The 20260-nt window shown below is 47.3% G+C and overlaps 1 long non-coding RNA gene across 1 annotated transcript, besides 4 other annotated features; it reads right to left on the bottom strand.

The window, feature by feature from the left end:
- Nucleotides 189–268: a silencer, noted in NCBI's record as "silent region_13007". NCBI's record gives its function as "represses an Ori minimal core promoter by ATAC-STARR-seq in GM12878 lymphoblastoid cells {active_cell/tissue: GM12878}" and the evidence as "EXISTENCE:reporter gene assay evidence [ECO:0000049][PMID:35858748]".
- Nucleotides 1707–1907: a silencer, noted in NCBI's record as "peak4247 fragment used in MPRA reporter construct". NCBI's record gives its function as "represses an SCP1 promoter by STARR-seq MPRAs in K562 erythroleukemia cells {active_cell/tissue: K562}" and the evidence as "EXISTENCE:reporter gene assay evidence [ECO:0000049][PMID:32103011]".
- Nucleotides 6880–7174: a silencer, noted in NCBI's record as "tiled region #9917; K562 Repressive DNase unmatched - State 8:EnhW". NCBI's record gives its function as "represses a minimal TATA promoter and a strong SV40 promoter by Sharpr-MPRA in K562 cells {active_cell/tissue: K562}" and the evidence as "EXISTENCE:reporter gene assay evidence [ECO:0000049][PMID:27701403]".
- LOC105372653 (uncharacterized) lies at nt 7045–20044 on the bottom strand. The gene is made up of 3 exons (NR_134564.1): nt 19781–20044; nt 15053–15264; nt 7045–7141 (listed from the first exon to the last, which is right to left on the bottom strand). It is a non-coding gene; the product is annotated as an uncharacterized LOC105372653 (long non-coding RNA).
- Nucleotides 10086–10255: an enhancer, noted in NCBI's record as "experimental_60723 CRE fragment used in MPRA reporter constructs". NCBI's record gives its function as "activates a minimal promoter by MPRAs in K562 erythroleukemia cells, with activity observed for the non-introgressed 20:48542233 variant allele {active_cell/tissue: K562}" and the evidence as "EXISTENCE:reporter gene assay evidence [ECO:0000049][PMID:34662402]".

Here is a 20260-nt window from a genome sequence, read left to right as displayed (position 1 = left end):
GCGGGTCTCACTGTGTTGCCGAGGCTGGCCTCGAACTCTTGGACGCAAGCAATCCGCCTGCCTCGGCAACCCGAAGTGCTGGGATTACAGCGGTGAGCCACAGTACCCAGCCATTTCTTAAATTTAAGCAAATTCTAATAACAGATCTAATTCCTGAGCTGCAAGAAGAAAATCAATATCATTTATTTATACAAAGGAGCTGGGCAAGGTGGCTTACTTCTGTAATCTCAGCACTTTGGGAGGCCGAGGTGGGCGGATCGCTTGAGCCTAGGAGTACTAGAGCAGCCTGGCCAACATGGTGAAACCCCGTCTCTACTAACAATACTAAAATTAGCCAGGCGTGGTTGCCCATGCCTGTAGCCTCAGCTACTCAGGACGCTGAGGCAGGAAAAGCCTTTGACCTGGGAGGCGAAGGTTGCCGTGGGCCAAGATGGCTCACTCACTCCAACAGTCACTAAACTCCAGCCTGGGCAACAAGAACGAAACTCCGTCTGAAAAAAAAAAAAAAAAACAAAAACACAACCTGGCTAACACGGTGAAACCCTGTCTCTACTAAAAATACAAAAAATTAGCCGGGCGTGGTGGCGGGCGCCTGTAGTCCCAGCTACTCGGGAGGCTGAGGCAGGAGAATGGCTTGAACCTGGGAGGCGGAGCTTGCAGTGAGCCAAGATCTTGCCACTGCACTCCAGTCTGGGCGACAGCGCGAGACTCCCTCTCAAAAAACAACAACAACAACAACAAAACAAAACAAAAAAACCCCAACAACAAAGTACATTCATTTCATATTGTGCAATCATCACCATCAGCTATCTCTAAAATTCTGGTCTTCTTGCTAAACTGAAACTGAAATTCTGTCCCCATTAAACAATAACTTCCTCTTCCCTCCTCCCATCCCCATACCCCCAGGCCCTGGCAATTTTCTGTCTATGATTTTGAAGCACTTATAGCTATAAAATTTCCCCTGAGCACTGCTTTCACTGTGTCCAGTAAATTTTGGCATGCTGTGTTTTTGTTTTCATTTGTTTCTCAATATTTTCTCTATTTATTTAATTAATTTATTTATTTTGAGATGGAGTCTCACTCTGTCGCCCAGGCTGGAGTGCATTGGTGCAATCTCTGCTCGCTGCAGCCTCCCTCTCCTGGATTCAAGCAATTCCCTTGCCTCAGCCTCCCAAGTAGCTGGGATTACAGGTGCCTGCCACCACGCCTGGCTAATTTTTGTATTTTTAGTAGAGACAGGGTTTCACAATGTTGGCCAGGCTGGTCTCAAACGCCTGACCTCAAGTGATCCGCCAACCTCGGCCTCCCAAAATGCTGGGATTACAGGTGTGAGCCACCCAGCCTGGCCTGTTTCTGAGTATTTTCTAATTTCCCTTGTGATTTCTTCTTTGATCCATTGGTTCTTTTAAGAGTGTGTAAATTTCCACAAATTTGTGAATTTTCCAGTTTTCCTTTGATATTGATTTCTTTTTTTTTTTAACCCCCCCATATTGATTTCTAGCCTTATCCAATTGTGCTTGGAGAAGATATTTGGTATGATCTCTTTTATTTCTTCTTTCTTTCCTTCTTATCTTTCTCTCTTTCTCCTTTTCTTCTGTCTCTTTTTGTAGAGATGAAGTCTGGCTGTGTTGCCCAGGCTGGTTGCAAACTCCTGGGCACGAGCAATCCTCCTGCCTCAGCCTCCCAAAGTGCTGGGATTACAGGCCTAAGCCACCACAGCTGGCTGATGTCTACCTTTTAAAATCTCTTGAGGCTTAATCTGTGGCCTAACATATGGTCCATCCTGGAGGATATCCCATGTGTGCCTGAGAAGAATGTGGATGCTGTTGTTGCTGGGGAGTGTCTGTACATGTGTTAGACCTGGTTGTCTTACTGTGTCGCTCAAGTCCTTTATTTCCTTACTTGTCTCCTGTTTGTTCTATTTATTCTTGGGAGTGGGGCATTGAAGTCTCTAACTATTATTGTGGAATTGTCTATTTCTTCCTTCAATTCTACCAATTTTTGCTTCATATGTTCTGATGGTCTGTTATTAGGTATATAAATGTTTATAATTGTTATATCTTCTTGCTGTATTGAACTTTTTATTAACATACAATGCCTTCTTTATCTCTTGTAACCTTTTGGACAAGTAATTTTTCTTTTTTCTTTTTTTGAGACAGGGTCTTGCTCTGTCGTCCAGGCTGGAGTGCAGTGGTGTGATCTCAGCTCACGGCAACCTCTGTCTCCTGGGTTCAGGTGATTCTCCTGTTTCAGCCTCCTGAGTAGCTGAGACTACAGGCATGCACGACCACGCCTGGCTAATTTTTGTATTTTTAGTAGAGACAGGATTTCACCATATTTTTTAGGCTGGTCTCAAACTCCTGACCTCAGGTGATGCACCCGCCTCGGCCTCCCAAAGTGCTAGGATTACAGGTGTGAGCTACCGTGCCCGGCCTGGACAAGTAATTTTTCTGATATTAGTATTGCCAGCCCTCCTCTTCTTTGGTCACGCAAAAAGATATTTGCATGAAATATCTTTTTCCATCCTTTCAGAACCAGTCTATAAAGTGAGTTTCTTATAGAGAGCAATACAGTTGAATCATGTTCTTTAAAAAAAAAAAAAAAAAAAGCTGGGTATGGCGGCTCATGCCTGTAATCTCAGCAGGAGGAGGCTGAGGCGGGTGGATCACCTGAGGTTAGGAGTTCAAGACCAGCCTGACCAACATGGTGAAACCCTGTTTCTACTAAAAATACAAAAATTAACCGGGCCTGGTGGTGCATGCCTGTAGTCCCAGCTACTTGGGAGGCTGAGGCAGGAGAATCGCTTGAACCTAGGAGGCAGAGGTTGCAGTGAGTGGAGAACGAGCCACTGGACTCCAGCCTGGGCAACAAGAGTGAAACTCAGTCTCAAAAAAAATTTCTTTTAAATTAATTTTTTTTTTTTTTGAGACAGAGTCTCGCTCTGTTGCCCAGGCTGGAGTGCAGTAGCACAATCTCGGCTCACTGCAAGCTCCGCCTCCTGGGTTCACGCCATTCTCCTGCCTCAACCTCCTGAGTAGCTGGGACTACAGGCGCCCACCACCACGCCCGGCTAATTTTTTTTGTATTTTTAGTAGAGACGGGGTTTCACCATGTTAGCCAGGATGGTCTCGATCTCCTGACCTCACGATCGGCCCACCTCGGCCTCCAAAGTGCTAGGGATTACAGGCGTGAGCCATTGTGCCCAGCCTAAATTTTTCCTTCCTTTTTTCCTTCCTTCCTTCCTTCCTCCCTCCTTCCCTTCCTTCCTTCCTTCGTTCCTTCCTTTGTTCCTTCCCTCCTTCCCTCCCTTTCTTTCTTTCCTTTTTTTTTTTTTTTTTTTTTTTGAGACAGAGTCTCACTCTGTCACCCAGGATGGAGTGCAGTGATGTGATCACAGCTCACTGCAGCCTTGACTTCCCAGGCTCAAGTGATCCTCCTGCCTCAGCCTCCTGAGTAGGTGAGACTACAGGCATGTGCCATCACACCTAGCTATTTTTTCTATTTTTTGTAGTGATGGGGTCTCACTATGTTGCCTAGGCTTTTTTTTTTCTTTTTTGAGACAGGGTCTGGCTCTGTTGCCCAAGCTGGAGGACAATGGCAAAATCTTGGCTCACTGCAACCTCCACCTCATGGGCAAAAGCCGTCCTCCCACCCCAGCCTCCCAAGTAGCTGGGACTATAGGCGTGCACACCACACCCAGCTAATTTTTAAATTTTTTGTAGAGACAGGGTTTCACCATGTTGCCAAGGCTGGTCTCGAACTCTTGAGCTCAAATGGTCCTCCTGTCTTGGTCTCCCAAAGTGCTGGGATTACAGGAGTCAGCCATCATTATTAAAATTTGTTTGCTTAAATTTAAGAAAGGGCTGGGCATGGTGGCTCACGCCTGTAATCCCAGCACTTTGGGTTGCTGAGGGGGGTGGATCACTTTTGTCCAGGGGTTTAAGACCATCCTGGGTAACACAGTGAGACACCCCACCACCCCCAACTCCCTCCCCCATCTCTACAAAAAATACAAAAATAAGTGGGAGGATCACTTGAGGCCAGGAGTTCAAGATCAACCTGGGCAACGTACCAAGACCCTGCTGTCTACAAACAAACAAACATAAAATTAGCTGAGTGCAGTGGCATGTGCCTGTAGTCTTAGCTACTCAGAGGAGGGTTGCTTGAGCCCAGGAGTTCAAAGCATCATTGAGCTGTAATCTTGCCACTGCACTCCAGTCTGGGCAAGAGCAAGACCCTGTCTCAAAAAAAAAAAAAAAAACAAAATTAATGCCAGGTGCAGTGGCTCACACCTGTAATCCCAGCACTTTGGGAGGTCAACATGGGAGGATCGCTTGAGGCCAGGAGTTTGAAACCAGCTTAATCAACATAGCAAGACCCCGCCATCTCTACATAAAAAAAACTAGCTACGTGTGGTGGTGCACACTTGTGGTCCCAGCTACTCAGGAGGCTGAAGTGGGAGGATTGCTTAAGCTCTAGAGATCGAGGCTGCAGTGAAACATGATTGTGCCACTGCATTCCAGCCTGACTGACAGAGACCCTTTCTCAAAAAAAAAAAAAAAAAAAAAAAAGGCCAGGCGCAGTGGCTCACACCTGTAACCCCAGCACTTTGGAAGGCCGAGGTGGATGGATCATGAGGGCAGGAGATCGAGACTATCCTGGCTAACACAGTGAAACCCTGTCTCTACTAAAAAATACAAAAAAATTAGCCGGGCCTGGTGGCGGGTGCCTGTAGACCCAGCTACTCGGGAGGCTGAGGCAGGAGAATGGCGTGAAGCCAGGAGGCGGAGCTTGCAGTGAGCTGAGACTGCACCACTGCACTCCAGCCTGCGCGACAGAGCAAGACTTTGTCTCAAAACAAAACAAAACAACTAAATAAAATATAAAATTCTATTCCCCAGTCTTACTAGCCATATGTCTAGTGCTCAATAGCCACAAGTGACTCGTGGCTACATATTGAAAAGATCAGACACAGAACATTTCCATCGTTGCAGGAAGATCTATTGGACAGCGCTGCTATAGATACCCTCATGCATGTGAGACAGCTACATGCACACGGATATCCAGGACAGCGTTGTCACACTAGGAAGATACTGGAAGCAACCAAAATGATGATTGGGGGTGATTAAACAAATGCAATAGATATAATTACTAGTATATCAATTCCATGAGGTCAGGAGGTTTTGTCAATTTTGTTTACTGCTGTTATCTTCAGCTTCCAAAATAATGCCTGGTGCATGCTAGGTAATTACATAAATATTTGTTAAATAAATATGAAGCTGATATTGAATCATCTCATATATATATATATATATAAAACTTTTTTTTAAAATGGAGTCTCGCTCTGTCACCCAGACTGGAGTGCAGTGGCACGATCTCAGCTCGCTGCAACCTCTGCCTCCTGGGTTCAAGAGATTCTCCTACCTCAGCCTCTCGAGTAGCTGGAATTACAGGCATGCGCCACTGCACCTGGCTAACTTTTGTATTTTTAGTAGAGACGGGGTTTCACCATGTTGGCCAGGCTGGTCTTGAACTCCTGACCTCAAGTGAGCTGCCCACCTTGGCCTCCCAAAGTGCTGGGATTACAGGTGTGAGCCACTGCACCTGGCCCAAAAAATATTTTTAATTAAAACAACATCAAGATGCCAAGTAATGCAACTAATATATGTATATGTTTGTATATGATAAATAGATGCCTTTGGAAAGTAGGGTGACCAAGTGTCCAGGTTTGCCTGGGAGTGAGGGGTTTCCCAGGATGTGAGACTTTCAGTGCCAAAACTGGGAAAGTCCCGGGCAAAACAGGATGAGTCAATTGCCCTACTGGAAAGATTTTTTTTTTTTTTTTTCTGAGACGGAGTCTCACTCTCACCCAGGCTGGAGTGCAGTGGGACCATGTTGGCTCACTGCAACCTCCATCTCCTGGGTTCAAGCAATTCTCCTGCCTCAGCTTCCTGAGTAGCTGGGATTACAGGTGTCCACTACCACGCCCGGCTAATTTTTTTATATTTTTAGTAGAGACGGGATTTCGCCATGTTGGCCAGGCTGGTCTCGAACTCCTGACCTCAGGTGATCCACCCGCCTCGGCCTCCCAAAGTTCTGGGATTACAGGCGTGAGCCACCGCGCCCGGCCTCCTGGGAAGATTTCTGAGAATCTGGTACCAATGGTTCCTATTAGAAAGGGAAAATGGCCCGGGTGTGGTGGGTCATGCCTGTAATCCCAGCACTTTGGGAGGCTAAGGCAGGTGGATCACTTGAGCCTGGCGGTTTGAGACCAGCCTGGGAAACATGGCAAGACCCTGTCTCTATTTTATATGAAAAGAAACAAACAAACAAAAAACCAAAAAACAAAAGGGGAGCTAAGGGACTGGGTCTTAGGTTCTGGGCCTGGAGAAAGACTTCTCCTTCTGTTTCCTCTTGTGTTGTCTAAATATTTATATCAAGTTCATGCACCACTTTTTAATTAAAAATTCGGGACCAGGTGAGGTGGCTCACATCTGTAATCCCAGCACTTTGAGAGGCTAAGGCAATTGCCTGGAGCCCAGGAGTTCGAGACCACCCTGGGCAACATAGCAAGATCCCATCCCTACAAAAAATACAAAAAATATCTGGGCATAGGGGCATGCACATGTGGGCTCAGCACTTGGGGAGGCTGAGGAGGACTGCTTGACCCCAGGACGTTGAGGCTGCAATGAACCATGATCGTGCTATTGCACTCCAGCCTGGGTGACTTTTTTTTCTCTTAAAAAAAGAAAAAATAAACAATGATGCATTAAGAACAGTTAAGATGAATCGGAAGTAACTCCAGCCCTCAAATCCTGTAACTCTCAGGCGTCACAGTTCTATCAGCCTCAGGCCACATGTAAAATTTATCGCTATACTTGTCTAAGTTAGGCATAATTTACCCCATCATGTATTGCTACATTTTTAAACCTGTGGGCAGATAATTTCATCTTGATTTCAGCCGGTTCTTCAAGATTGCCAAATTGCTGAGCGCCAGGAAGAATTCCTACTGACACCACCAGGGGGCGTGTGAGCATCTCACAGACTCACCGGGCCCTGCGAAGAGAACACCGGCTCCTTTATTCTTTCCAGTTCTCTAAGTATTTCCTGCCTCTGCCCATCATGGCTTACTGTACATTGCCTGAAAACAAAAATTAAAAAAAAAAAAAAAGAGTCTCAGCCTAAAAGGAGTCTTAACAGAGGAGACACTGGCATGTAAATATTCATTCAACCAATAACTCTATGTGCTAAGTATCCTGGTAAGTGTTGGAAATGTAACAGTGAATTATTCAGTCTCAAACAGGAAAGCCACGCGGGGATGATCACATAAAAATGCGGCCCCTGGCAGGGTGCAGCGGCTCACGCCTGTAATCCCAACACTTTGGGAGGCAGAGGCCGGTGTATCACTTGAGGTCAGGAGTTTGAGACCAGCCTGGCCAACATGGTAAAACCCCAGTCTCTACCAAAAAAATACAAAAATTAGCCGGGTGTGGTGGCGCATGCCTGTTAATCCCAGCTACTAAGGAGGCTAAGGCAGGAGAATCGCTTGAACCCAGGAGGCAGAGGTTGCAGTGAGCCAAGACTGCGCCACTGCACTCCAGCCTGGGCGACAGAGTGAGAGCCTGTCTCAAAAAAAAAAATTAAAAAAAAACTGCCTCCAGAAAATTGCATTTCATCAGTTATCCCACCAGCTCATAGCATTTTACAGTTTCTATTATATCAAGGGTCAGCCACATAATGAGGTAAAAACATAACGATCTCATAATATCTGACAAGAACTACAACCAAATAATGAGTACTAACAAGAAGACATTGAAATAGGGGATTTGAATCCACCTTCATCTACAATAAACTGCACCTCATGTGTATATTGTGACTTGAGACATTGGCTAAGGATAGAAGAAAGTCATCACAATTAACAAGACATTTCAAAACTAAGCATTCACATAGAAGTAGAATTTCCGGGTCATTTCGTAAATGTGTGTTTAATTTTTTTTGTTTTGTTTGTTTGTTTGTCTGTTTTGTTTGTTTGTTTTTGAGATGGAGTCTTGCTGTTGCCCAGGCTGGAATGCAATGGCACGATCTCGGCTCACTGCAACTTCCGCCTCCTGGGTTCAAGCGATTCTTCCACCCCAGCCTCCTGAGTAGCTGGGATTACAAACACCTGCCATCATGCCCGGCTAATTTTTGTATTTTTGTAGAGATGGGGTTTCACCATGTTGGCCAGGCTGGTCTTGAACTCCTGATCTCAGGTGATCTGCCCGCCTTGGCCTTCCAAAGTGCTGGGATTACAGGCGTGAGCCACCGTGCCCGGCCAATGTGTGTTTAATTTTATTAGAAACTGCCAAACCAAGCCATTTTCCAACTATTTCCCATGACCACTAACAAGGTATGAGTTGCTTCACGTCCTCACCAACATTTGGTTGTCAGACACTTTTAGCCATTCTAGTGAGTGTGTAGTGGTACTGTGCAATTTTAGATTTCATAATGATTAATGACGTTGAGTACCTTTTCATTTGTTTATTGGCCATTTTGTATGTTTTACCTCTGTGAAGTGTCTGTCCAGATCTTCTGTTATTTATTTATTTATTTTTTTTTTTGAGATGGAGTCTCACTTTGTTCCCAGGCTGGAGTGCAGTGGTACCATCTCGGCTCACTGCAACCTTTGCCTCCCGGTTCAAGTAATTCTTCTCCCTCAGCCTCCCTAGTAGCTGGGATTTCAAGTGTGTGCCACCACGTCCAGCTAATTTTTTTGTATTTTTAGTAGAGACAGGGTTTCACCATGTTGGCCAGGCTGGTCTCGAACTCCTTACATCAAATGATCCACCCAGATTGGCTTCCCAAAGTGCTGGAATTACAGGCATGAGCCACTGTGCCCAGCCACACCATTTTTTTTTTTTGAGACAGGGTCTTGCTCTGTTGCCCAGTCTGGAGTGCACGGATTCCAATGGTGTGATCGTGGCTCACTGCAACCTCCACCTCCTGGGTTCAAGCAATTCTCCTGCCTCAGCCTCCCGAGTACCTGAGATTTCAGGTGGGTGTCATGAGATCCAGCTATTTTTTTTTTTGTATTTTTAGTAGAGACAGGGTTTCACCATGTTGGCCAGGCTGGTCTCGAACTCCTGACCTCAAGTGATCCACCCACCTCAGCCTCCCAAAGTGCTGGGATTACAGGTGTGAGCCACTGGCCTGGCCCCCCCCAAAATTTTTTTATTGTGATAACATACATAACATAAAAATTGCCATTTTAACCACCATAAAGCATATACTTTAGTGGCAGTAATTACATTCACAATGTTGTGCAAACATCGCCTCTGTTTCCAAAATTTTTTCAGCAACCTAAACAGAAACTCCATCTATAAGAAATAGCTCCCCATTCCTCCCTCTCCAGCCACTGGTAACCTCTAATCCTTTTTCTGTCTCTATGAATTTGCCTATTACAGACATCTCATCTAGTGGAATCACACAATATTTGTCCTTTTGTGACTGGCTTCTTTCACTTAACATAATATTTTTAAGGTTTATCCATGATGTAGCATTGGAATTTCCTCACTTTTTAAGGCTGAATAATATTCCATTGCATGGATGTACCACATTTTGTTTATTCATTCATCTGTCAGCAAACACTTGGGTCGTTTCTACCTTTTGGCTAATGTGAATAATACTGCAATGAACATTGATGTACAAGTGTCTGTTTTGAGTCCTTATTTTCAATTCTTTCAGGCATATGCCTAGGAGCAGAATTGCTGAGTCATATGGTCATTCTGTATTTAACTTTTTGAGGAACTGCCAGACTGTTCTTTACAGTGGCTGCACCATTTTACATTCCCACCAGCAAGTACGAGTATTCCATTCTTTACATCATTGCCAACATTTGTTATTTTCCTTTTCAAAAACATTTTATTATAGCCACCCTAGAGGGTTTGAAGTGGAATCTCACTGTGGTTTTGATTTACATTTCCCTAAAGATTAGTGATGACACACATCTTTTCACATGCTTATTGGCCATCTGTGTATCTTCTTTGGAGAAATGTCTATTCAAGTCCTTTGCCCATTTTTAATTTTATTTATTTATTTATTTTGAGATAGAATCTCACTCTGTTGCCCAGACTGGAGTGCAATGGTGAGATCTTGGCTCACTGCAACCTCCACCTCCTAGGTTCACATGATTCTCTCACCTCAGCCTCCCAAGTAGCTGGGATTACAGGGGCCTGCCACTACACCCAGCTAATTTTTGTATTTTTAAAAAAATTTTTTTATTATTTTTTTTTGAGACAGAGTTTCACTGTTGTCACCCAGGCTGGAGTGCAATGGCAAAATCTCGACTCACTGCAGCCTCCGCCTCCTGGGTTCAAGCGATTCTCCTGCCTCAGCCTCCCAAGTAGCTGGGATTACAGGCACATGCCACCATGCCTGGCTAATTTTTGTATTTTTAGTAGAGATGGGGTTTCACTATGTTGGCCAGACTGGTCTCGAACTCCCAAACTCAGGTGATCCACACACCTTGGCTTCCCAAAGTGCTGGGATTACAGGCATGATCCACTGCTCCTGGTGTATTTTTAGTAGAGATGGAGTTTCACCATGTTGGCCAGGCTGGTCTTGAACTCCCGACCTCAGGTGATCCTCCCGCCTCGGCCTCCCAAAGTGCTGGGATTACAGGTGTGAGCCACTGTGCCCGGCCAACTTTTGCATTTTTAGTAGAGATGGGATTTTGCCATGATGGCCAGGCTGGTCTTGAACTCTTGAGCTCAAATGATCTACCCCCCTTGGCTTCCGAAAGTGCTGGGATTACAGGTGTGAGCCACCATGCCCAGCCACCTTTGCCCATTTTTAAATTGGGTTGTCTATTTGTTGTTGCGTTATAGAAATTCTTCATATATTCTGGATATTATACAATTCTACACTTTTTTTAACTTATTTTTTTTTTTAGAGACAGGGTCTCACTCTGTTGCTGAGGCTGGAGTGCAGTGGTGCCATCACAGTTCACTGTAACCTCAAACTCTTGGGCTCAAGAGATTCTCCCACCTCAGCCTCCCCAGTAGCTAGGACTATGGGCTCATGCTACGTGTCTACCTAATTTTTAAAATTTTTTGGAGAGATGGGGCTTTACTATGTAGCCTAGACTGGTCTCCAACTTCTGGCCTCAAGCAATCCTCCAGTTTCGCCCTCTCAAAGCATTGGGATTACATGCGTGAGCCATGGCCCCTAGCCAAAATCCTCCTCTTTTGAGCAGCATAAATGCAAGGTGTCAAGGCCTGACCATAATGGCATAAGTCCCATTATGTTCCCCATTGGTCTGAGGCTGACTCTACACCCCAGCCTGGCAAGCCCTGTGACTGAGTCAGTCATATCTAGCTTGTGTTGAATGCTCACTCTGCACTTGGCATCGTATATTATTAGCTCATTTAATCTCTCAATAATCCTCAGGGGTACTATTAATCCCATTTTACTGATAAGGAAATAGAGGCAGTCCCAGAGAGGTTAGATAGCTTGTCCAAGGTCACACAGATGGAAAGCGGCAGGGCTAGGATCTGAACTTAAGCCTTTCGGCTCCAGAGCCTACTTCGACTTCTGGCCTAGGGATAATGTTGCTATGTAATAAGGACAACCTGTGTGTGGCTTTCCTTTGCTTGCTTCAAGGGAGAGGGAAGGACAAAGATGTTTGCTTCCAGCAAGCCGTCTTCTAAAACCCAATACTTTTTTTTTTTTTTTTTTTTTTTTGCGATGGAGTCTCGCTCTGTTGCCCAGGCTGGAGTGCAGTGGTGCAATCTCGGCTCACTACAACCTCCGCCTCCTGGTTCAAGCAATTCTCCTGCCTCAGCCTCCCAAGTAGCTGGGATTACAGGCATGCGCCACCATGCCCGGCTAATTTTAGTATTTTTACTAGAGATGGTGTTTCACTATGTTGGCCAGGCTGGTCTGGAACTCCTGACCTCAAGTGATCCTCCTGCCTTGGCCTCCCAAAGTGCTGGGATTACACAAGTGAGCCACTGTGCCCAGCCCTGAAACCCAGTACTTTAAGAGACTGTTATAGTACACACTGGGGCTCGTAACTTTGGGGTTACTGTTTTCAGGAGCAATTAAGAATCATAAGGAAGAAATGCTGAGTTGCCCACATCCAGTCCCATGAAGTGTGTCTCCTTGGAGCTGGGCTGGGCTGGGTGGATCCCACTAACAACAGCCCTCTGCCAGCTGCCTCACCTTTGGACTCGTGGGTTGCTCCTGCTGCAGACATGAAGACTTTAAAGCGATTGGCAGTTGGGTTTATATTTAGGGAAAAGGGGGAAGAAAGCCGTTCTTACTGATTGTGAAGAAGCTTGACAGCGCCAGCTTTCAGTTCAAGACGTGCCATCTTTAGAGTTACAAACCTCCCCCAAACCCTGCCTCCACCCGTGGGAGGCCAGAATGAATTCTGAGCTTTGGGAGCCAGACAGAATCTGTAGCACCCAGCAAATTCATGTGGGACAACAAGAATCCTAATCGTGGATAACATTTGCTGCAGGATCACTGCCTTCCAGGCACTGGGGGAACTTCTTTGCACATGTTATCCCATTCAATATGCAAAATAACCTTATGAAGAAGATACTATGATCAGCTCCATTTTACAGGTGGGGAAACTGAGGCTTAGAAAGATGATGAGGCTGGGCGCAGTGGCTCACGCCTGTAATCCCAGCACTTTGGGAGGCCAAGGCGGGTGGATTGCTTGAACTCAGGAGTTTGTTTGTTTGTTTGTTTGTTTGTTTGTTTTTATTGATCATTCTTGGGTGTTTCTCGCAGAGGGGGATTTGGCAGGGTCACAGGACAATAGTGGAGGGAAGGTCAGCAGATAAACAAGTGAACAAAGGTCTCTGGTTTTCCTAGGCAGAGGACCCTGCGGCCTTGCGCAGTGTTTGTGTCCCTGGGTACTTGAGATTAGGGAGTGGTGATGACTCTTAAGGAGCATGCTGCCTTCAAGCATCTGTTTAACAAAGCACATCTTGCACCGCTCTTAATCCATTCAACCCTGAGTGGATACAGCACATGTTTCAGAGAGCACAGGGTTGGGGGTAAGGTCACAGATCAACAGGATCCCAAGGCAGAAGAATTTTTCTTAGTACAGAACAAAATGAAAAGTCTCCCATGTCTACCTCTTTCTACACAGACACAGCAACCATCCAATTTCTCAATCTTTTCCCCACCTTTCCCCCCTTTCTATTCCACAAAACCGCCATTGTCATCATGGCCCGTTCTCAATGAGCTGTTGGGTACACCTCCCAGACGGGGTGGTGGCCGGGCAGAGGGGCTCCTCACTTCCCAGTAGGGGCGGCCGGGCAGAGGCGCCCCTCACCTCCCGGACGGGGCAGCTGGCCAGGCGGGGGGCTGACCCCCCCCACCTCCCTCCCGGACAGGGCGGCTGGCCGGGCGGGGGGCTGACCCCCCCACATCCCTCCCGGACGGGGCGGCTGGCCGGGCAGAGGGGCTCCTCACTTCCCAGTAGGGGCGGCCGGGCAGAGGCGCCCCTCACCTCCCGGACCGGGCGGCTGGCCGGGCGGGGGGCTGACCCCCCCACCTCCCTCCCGGACGAGGTGGCTGCCGGGCGGAGATGCTCCTCACTTCCCAGACGGGGTGGCTGCTGGGCGGAGGGGCTCCTCACTTCTCAGACGGGGCGGCTGCCGGGCGGAGGGGCTCTTCACTTCTCAGACGGGGCGGTTGCCAGGCAGAGGGTCTCCTCACTTCTCAGACGGGGCGGCCGGGCAGAGACGCTCCTCACATCCCGGACGGGGCGGCAGGGCAGAGGTGCTCCCCACATCTCAGACGATGGGCGGCCGGGCAGAGACGCTCCTCACTTCCCAGATGTGATGGCGGCTGGGAAGAGGCGCTCCTCACTTCCTAGATGGGATGGCGGCCGGGCAGAGACGCTCCTCACTTTCCAGACTGGGCAGCCAGGCAGAGGGGCTCCTCACATCCCAGACGATGGGCGGCCAGGCGGAGATGCTCCTCACTTCCCAGACGGGGTGGCGGCCGGGCAGAGGCTGCAATCTCGGCACTTTGGGAGGCCAAGGCAGGCTGCTGGGAGGTGGAGGTTGTAGCGAGCCGAGATCACGCCACTGCACTCCAGCCTGGGCACCATTGAGCACTGAGTGAACGAGACTCCGTCTGCAATCCCTGCACCTCGGGAGGCCGAGGCTGGCGGATCACTCGCGGTTAGGAGCTGGAGACCAGCCCGGCCAACACAGCGAAACCCCGTCTCCACCAAAAAAATACGAAAACCAGTCAGGCGTGGCGGCGCGCGCCTGCAATCGCAGGCACTCGGCGGGCTGAGGCAGGAGAATCAGGCAGGGAGGTTGCAGTGAGCCGAGATGGCAGCAGTACCGTCCAGCTTCGGCTCGGCATCAGAGGGAGACCGTGGAAAGAGAGAGAGAGGGAGACCGTGGGGAGAGGGAGAGGGGGAGGGGGAGGGGGAGGGGGAGGGGGAGGGAGAGGGAGAGGGCGAACTCAGGAGTTTGAGACCAGCCTGGGCAACATGAATAAATCCTGTCTCCACAAAAAATACAAGGGCATGGTGGCGCATGCCTGTAGTCCCAGTTACTTGGGAGGCTGAGGTAGGAGGATTGCTTAAGCCTGGGAGGTGGAGGTTGCAGTGAGCCAAGATGGCACCACTGCACTCTAGCCTGGGTGACAGAGACCCTGTCTCAATAAATAAATAAATAAATAAATAAATAAATAAATAAATAAATATGATGTCCCAGGCAGTCTGACTCCATGTCATAACCCTGAAGATAAGCTGTCTGACAACACAATTAAATTATGCTCTTAGATCAGAGTGAGGATCCTGAAAAGAAAACAGTATGGGAAGTAAGAGCTAGTAGTTAGCAAAACTGTATCATTTCATTCAATCAAGAGAAATGTAATAAATGTAATAAGCAGCCACTATGGATAAAGTGCTTCTCTAGGCTTTAAAACATATAAAAGGATTGATTCATGATAGCTAATGCTAATTGAGTAATTAACATGTTATCATGTCACAAGGACTATCTCATTTAACCTGTATTTTGGTAGGTACTATCGTTACCTGTAGCACCAACCAGCTCGACTGCCTGTCGTTCCTCACCCATCCTTAGTGCAGGGTGCAGACCTGGCACCCAGGGCCAAACACAGCCTCAGCCACACTCCTGTGATAACCATGGTATTGACTGGTCCAATTGCAGTGGTGCTTACGACTAATTCATCACAACCAGTTATAGATTTGTTTCTTCTCCATTCCCATTGCTTCACTTGACTAGCCTAAAAAATAAAAAATAAAACATGGTTGTTGTTGTTTTTTTTGAGACAGAGTCTCGCTCTGTCACCCAGGCTGGAGTGCAATGGTGCAATCTCAGCTCCCTGCAACCTCCACCTTCTGGGTTCAAGTAATTCTCCTGCCTCAGCCTCCCAAGTAGCTGGGATTACAAGCACCCACCATCATGCCCAGCTAATTTTGTTTTGTATTTTTCTAGAGATGGGGTTTCACCATGTTGACCAGGCTCCTGACCTCAGATGATCTACCTGCCTCGGCCTCCCAAAGTGCTGGGATTACAGGCATGAGCCACCATGCCTGGATGAAGCATGATATTTTATGTTTAGCATTAGTATGGGCTCATAACTTCTCTCCCCACAATTAAGTTTTATAATCTGTTATTATTATTTATTTTGATACTCACATTGCCCATATCTGGCCAATAGGGACCCTCCATCCTGGCTTTTGTGTGCTTTCAACATGTCCCATCATTCTTTGGGCACTTCCTACTTTCTGGCTCAATAACATGTTCCAACCTCATGTTGTAATTTCCCTGACCTACCCCTGGGAATCAGCCATTTCTCCAGGAAGCCCTGGTTCCATGGACTAAGATCTGGTTAGTCTTAGTCTACGTGCTTGTTGCTACAGGTGTGCCATTTCTTCTAGGCCCTCTCAACAGGTAGAAACAGGAGGTATATTTACAAATATTGTTTATAATTAAGAAATTTTATTTAAAAATCTGGATTCCAGGCTGGACGCAGTGGCTGGTGCCTGTAATCCCAGCACTTTGGTGGGTCAAAGTGGGAGGATCACCTGAGGCTAGGAGTTTGAGACCACCCTGGGCAACACAGCAAGATCCCACGTCTTCAGAAAATAATTAACTGGGCATGATGGCATGAGCCTGTAGTCCCAGCTGTGTGGGAGGCTGGGGTGGGAGGATCCCTTGAGTCCAGAAGTTTGAGGTTGCAGTGAGCCATGATCATGCCACTGTACTCCAGTCTGGATGACAGATCAAGACCTTATCTTTAAATAAATAAATAAACAAACAATCTGGATCTCTAACTCCTCTCCAAAAATCAGAGTATCTGGTCATTCCTGGTGAGTGGGGATCTTGGCCACAAGTCAGCTGAAGCATGGAAGGAATTCAACAATATTTGTTTTCTCACTGAAGTACTTATTGGATGCCTACTGTGAGCCGGGTACCATGTTAGATTACATTACTCATTTCTGGTCCTACGCAGTGTGAGGCTATAGTACTCTAGTACCTCGTATTTGCCCACATTATGTGCTTGCAGGTAGCTGAGTTTGTGTTTTTGTTTTTTGTTTTTGTTTTTGCTTTTTTGAGACAGGGTCTCCCTCTGTGTCCCAGGCTAGAGTGCAGTAGCGTGATCTTGGCTCACTGCCACCTCCACCTCCCAGATTTAAGCGATTCTCCAGCCTCAGCCTCCTGAGTAGCTGGGACCACAGGTGGGCACTACTACAGGCTGGCTAATTTTTGTGGTTTTAGTACAGATGGGGTTTCACTGTATCGGTCAGGCTGGTCTCAAACTCTGGGCCTCAGGAGATCCGCCTGCCTCGGCCTCCCAAATTGCTGGGATTACAGGCTTGTGCCACTGAGCCCAGCCACAGGTAGCCGAGTTTTTGATCTCAGGTCCTTGCCTTTGATTGCTCCCTTTACTCCAGCTGGAAGGAAAGCTGGACAGCCTCACATGTCCAGGTCACTCAAAGCCCAGCTCAAATGCTACTTCCTCCTGGAGGCTATCCTTCATTTACCCTGTCAGAGGTCACTTCTCCATGCTCTAAGCTCTATACCCCTCTCATATCATTTACCATCTTCTATCCTGAATTCTAGGGTTTTATTAATCCTACTCCTATGTTATGAATATTCTCTTTCGGTTAAGGAGACTGGATGCTCTGTGAGGGCAGGAACTGTGTCTGTCTCACTCACAGTTATGCCCTTTAAACCTAACATCAGGGTGGGCATGGTGACTCATGCCTGTAATCCCAGCACCTTGGGAAGCCAAGGTGGGAGGATCACTTGAGCCCAGGAGTTTGAGAGCAGCCTTGGCAAAATTGCGAGACCCTCCCTCTACAAAACAGTTAACAAAATTAGCCAGATGTGGTGGTGTGCAACTGTGGTCCCCGCCACTCAGGAGGCTAAGGTGGGAGGATCGCTTGAGCCTAGGAGGTTGAGGCTGCAGTGAGCTATGATCATGCCACTACACTCCAGACAGGGTGACAGAGTGAGAGACCCTGTCTCAATTAAAAAAAAAAAATCTGACATCAAACTTGGCACATGGTAGGTATTCAGTGAAAATTCTGGTCAGAAACAAATTATGTTGAACAACCTATTGCATGCTAGGTAGTGCATATATGTCAGGTAGTAGTAATATAATTGTGAACAAAACAGACATAGTTTTGTCCTCATGGAGTTCACTGACTTCTGGGGGAGAAAGATATTAATACAGATCACATAAATGTGTGTTTGTGGAATGAAAGACAGATATCTGTATCTGTGTTCCTGTCCCCAGTTGACTTTTTTTGTTTTGTTTTTTTGAGACAGAGTCTCACTCTGTAGCCCAGGCTGGAGTGCAGTGGTGCCATCTCGGTTCACTGCAACCTCTGCCTCCCAGGTTCATGCCATTCTCCTGCCTCAGCCTCCCGAGTAGCTGGGACTACAGGCACCCGCTACTGCGCCTGCTACCACACCCGGCTAATTTTTGTATTTTTAGTAGAGACAGGGTTTCACTGTGTTAGCCAGGATGGTCTCGGCCTCTTGACCTCGTGATTTGCCCACCTCGGCCTCCCAAAGTGCTGGGATTACAGGCGTGAGCCACCGCGCCTGGCCATGCATCACCCTTTTTAAGTGATCCACAGTATTTGTTAGTATGGATATACCATTACCCCAGTGATGGAGATTTAAATATTTCCTATTATTGCTTTTGCATTAGAAACAATGATGCAAGAGGTCTCTTTGGGCACAGTGTATGTTTCTCTAGCAGATTTTGAGAAATCCAATTGCTGGGTCATGGGGTAGCTTTTCTGTTTTGCTTTTTGTTCTATACTCCTCTGTATTGTTGGAATCATGTATTACTTTGGTGATGGAAAAAAAAACTAAAAAATAGAAAGAGGTAGGTAGATTGTTCGTGTTGTTGGCTCTTCGGAAGTAGAAGTGCCTAATCATTGTCACGTGACCCTTACATAATCTGGTAATCATTATATAATAAAGTCGGGAAAGGACGCTCCTGTCATTTCTACATCACCAAGTAGAGAAATCACAAGCCTTCAACTGTGTTTAAAAGATGAGAAACATGGCCGGACACAGTGGCTCAGGCCTGTAATCCCAGCACTTTGGGAGGCCGAGGTGGGCGGATCACGAGGTCAAGAGATGGAGACCATCCTGACCACCTTGGTGAAACCCCATCTCTACTAAAAATACAAAAAATTAGCCAGGCGTGTTGGCGCGTGCCGGTAGTCCCAGCTACTCCGGAGGCTGAGGCAGGAAAATGGCGTGAACCCAGGAGGCGGAGCTTGCAGTGAGCTGAGATTGTGCCACTGCACTCCAGCCTGGGTGACAGAGCGAGACTCCGTCTCAAAAAAAAAAAAAAAAAAAAAAAAAACTGAGAAATGTGACTGTCTTTGGAGACTTTGGGTCTTTTCTGATAGTAGATGATGACCAGGGTTTCCTACTGGTAAAGCCCTTCTTCAAAATCTTTGTTTCTCTTTTGCCTGTCATAGACCCACAGAGCTGGAGGGGACTTTTTTAAGCAGCCCCACGTGAAAATGCAATATTGTAAGAGCTACCAAACCAGAGTGCTGAGTTGCTGTAAGAGGCAGACTTAAGGTGGGACAGTTTGTCTCAGATGGAATTCCTGTGAACATCATCACATTGCAGATAATTAAGAGAGGAGCTTAAACATGAGCTGATAAAGAACACAGGGACTTTGAGCGGTGCTCAGGCAACGACAGGTAAACACAGTAATGCTACTGTTTGGACAGCAGCAGATTGCTGGTTCTCCAAACGTTTCCCAGTATTGTGTCACTGACTCATCACACAAGCCCCACCGGTTTTAGCTGGGGTCACCAAGACTCAGAGTGAGAATCCTACAATCAATGAACATCTGTTGTGTGCCTCCTCATCAGACATGTGCAGAGCTCGGGGGGAAATAGATGAATAAGAAGCTCAGGGTCTGGTGGGGATGTCAGATTATATATATATATAGTTTATCCGAAAGTGCTGGGATTACAGGCGTGAGCCGCCGTGCCCGGCTTTTTTTTTTTTTTTTTTTTTTTTTTTTTTTTAAGAGACGTGGCCTCGTTATGTTGCCCAGGTTGGTCTCGAACACCTGGGAGCAAGCCATCCTCTCGCCTCAGCCTCCCGACTAGCTGGGACTACAGTCGCGTGCCACCACGCCTGGCTTTATTATTTAATATTACAGGTTAGAAAGCTGAGGCTCAGAGAGGTTAGGTAACTTGTCCAAGGTCACACAGCTAGTAAGTGGCAAAACTAAAAATAGAACCCACGCTCTTAACCGCCGCCCACGGCCCGTAACACCCGCAGCCCTAGCAAGGCTGGATTCCAATCACGCGTGATTTCAGCATCTCACTGGCTCTCTTTGAGCCTCGGTACTTCTGTCCGTAAAATGGGGGCGAGGGATCCGACCGTCAGCCCCTGCTTGCTTGTGCGGAGTCATGAGTACAGCTCGTGGATCATGATAAGTGGCAGGTCCGGGAAGTGGAGGCCGAGTTCACGCAGTCAGCACTCATAGCTCCCAGCTCCCTGCTCCTGAGCGGTTTCCATGACAACCCGGCCAGCCACCATCCCTAGGCCGAGCGGCTTGCGTCACGTCCGGCCTGTTTACTTCCGGGTCCCAGTCTCAGACGCAGCGATGGCTCGTTAGGCTCCAAAGTGCGGTTCCGCCGGTTTCGTCCTCGCTCTTCGGCCTTCCGCTTTGTCCTCCGCCTCTGGGTTGTAGTCTCCGTCGGCCGCGGGCATCGACCGCT

Source organism: Homo sapiens, chromosome 20 (genome assembly GCF_000001405.40).
Source record: "Homo sapiens chromosome 20, GRCh38.p14 Primary Assembly".
Classification (NCBI taxonomy): domain Eukaryota; kingdom Metazoa; phylum Chordata; class Mammalia; order Primates; family Hominidae; genus Homo; species Homo sapiens.
The sequence above is the reverse complement of the archived record's forward strand: the minus strand, read 5'-3'. Positions and strand labels throughout refer to the sequence as shown.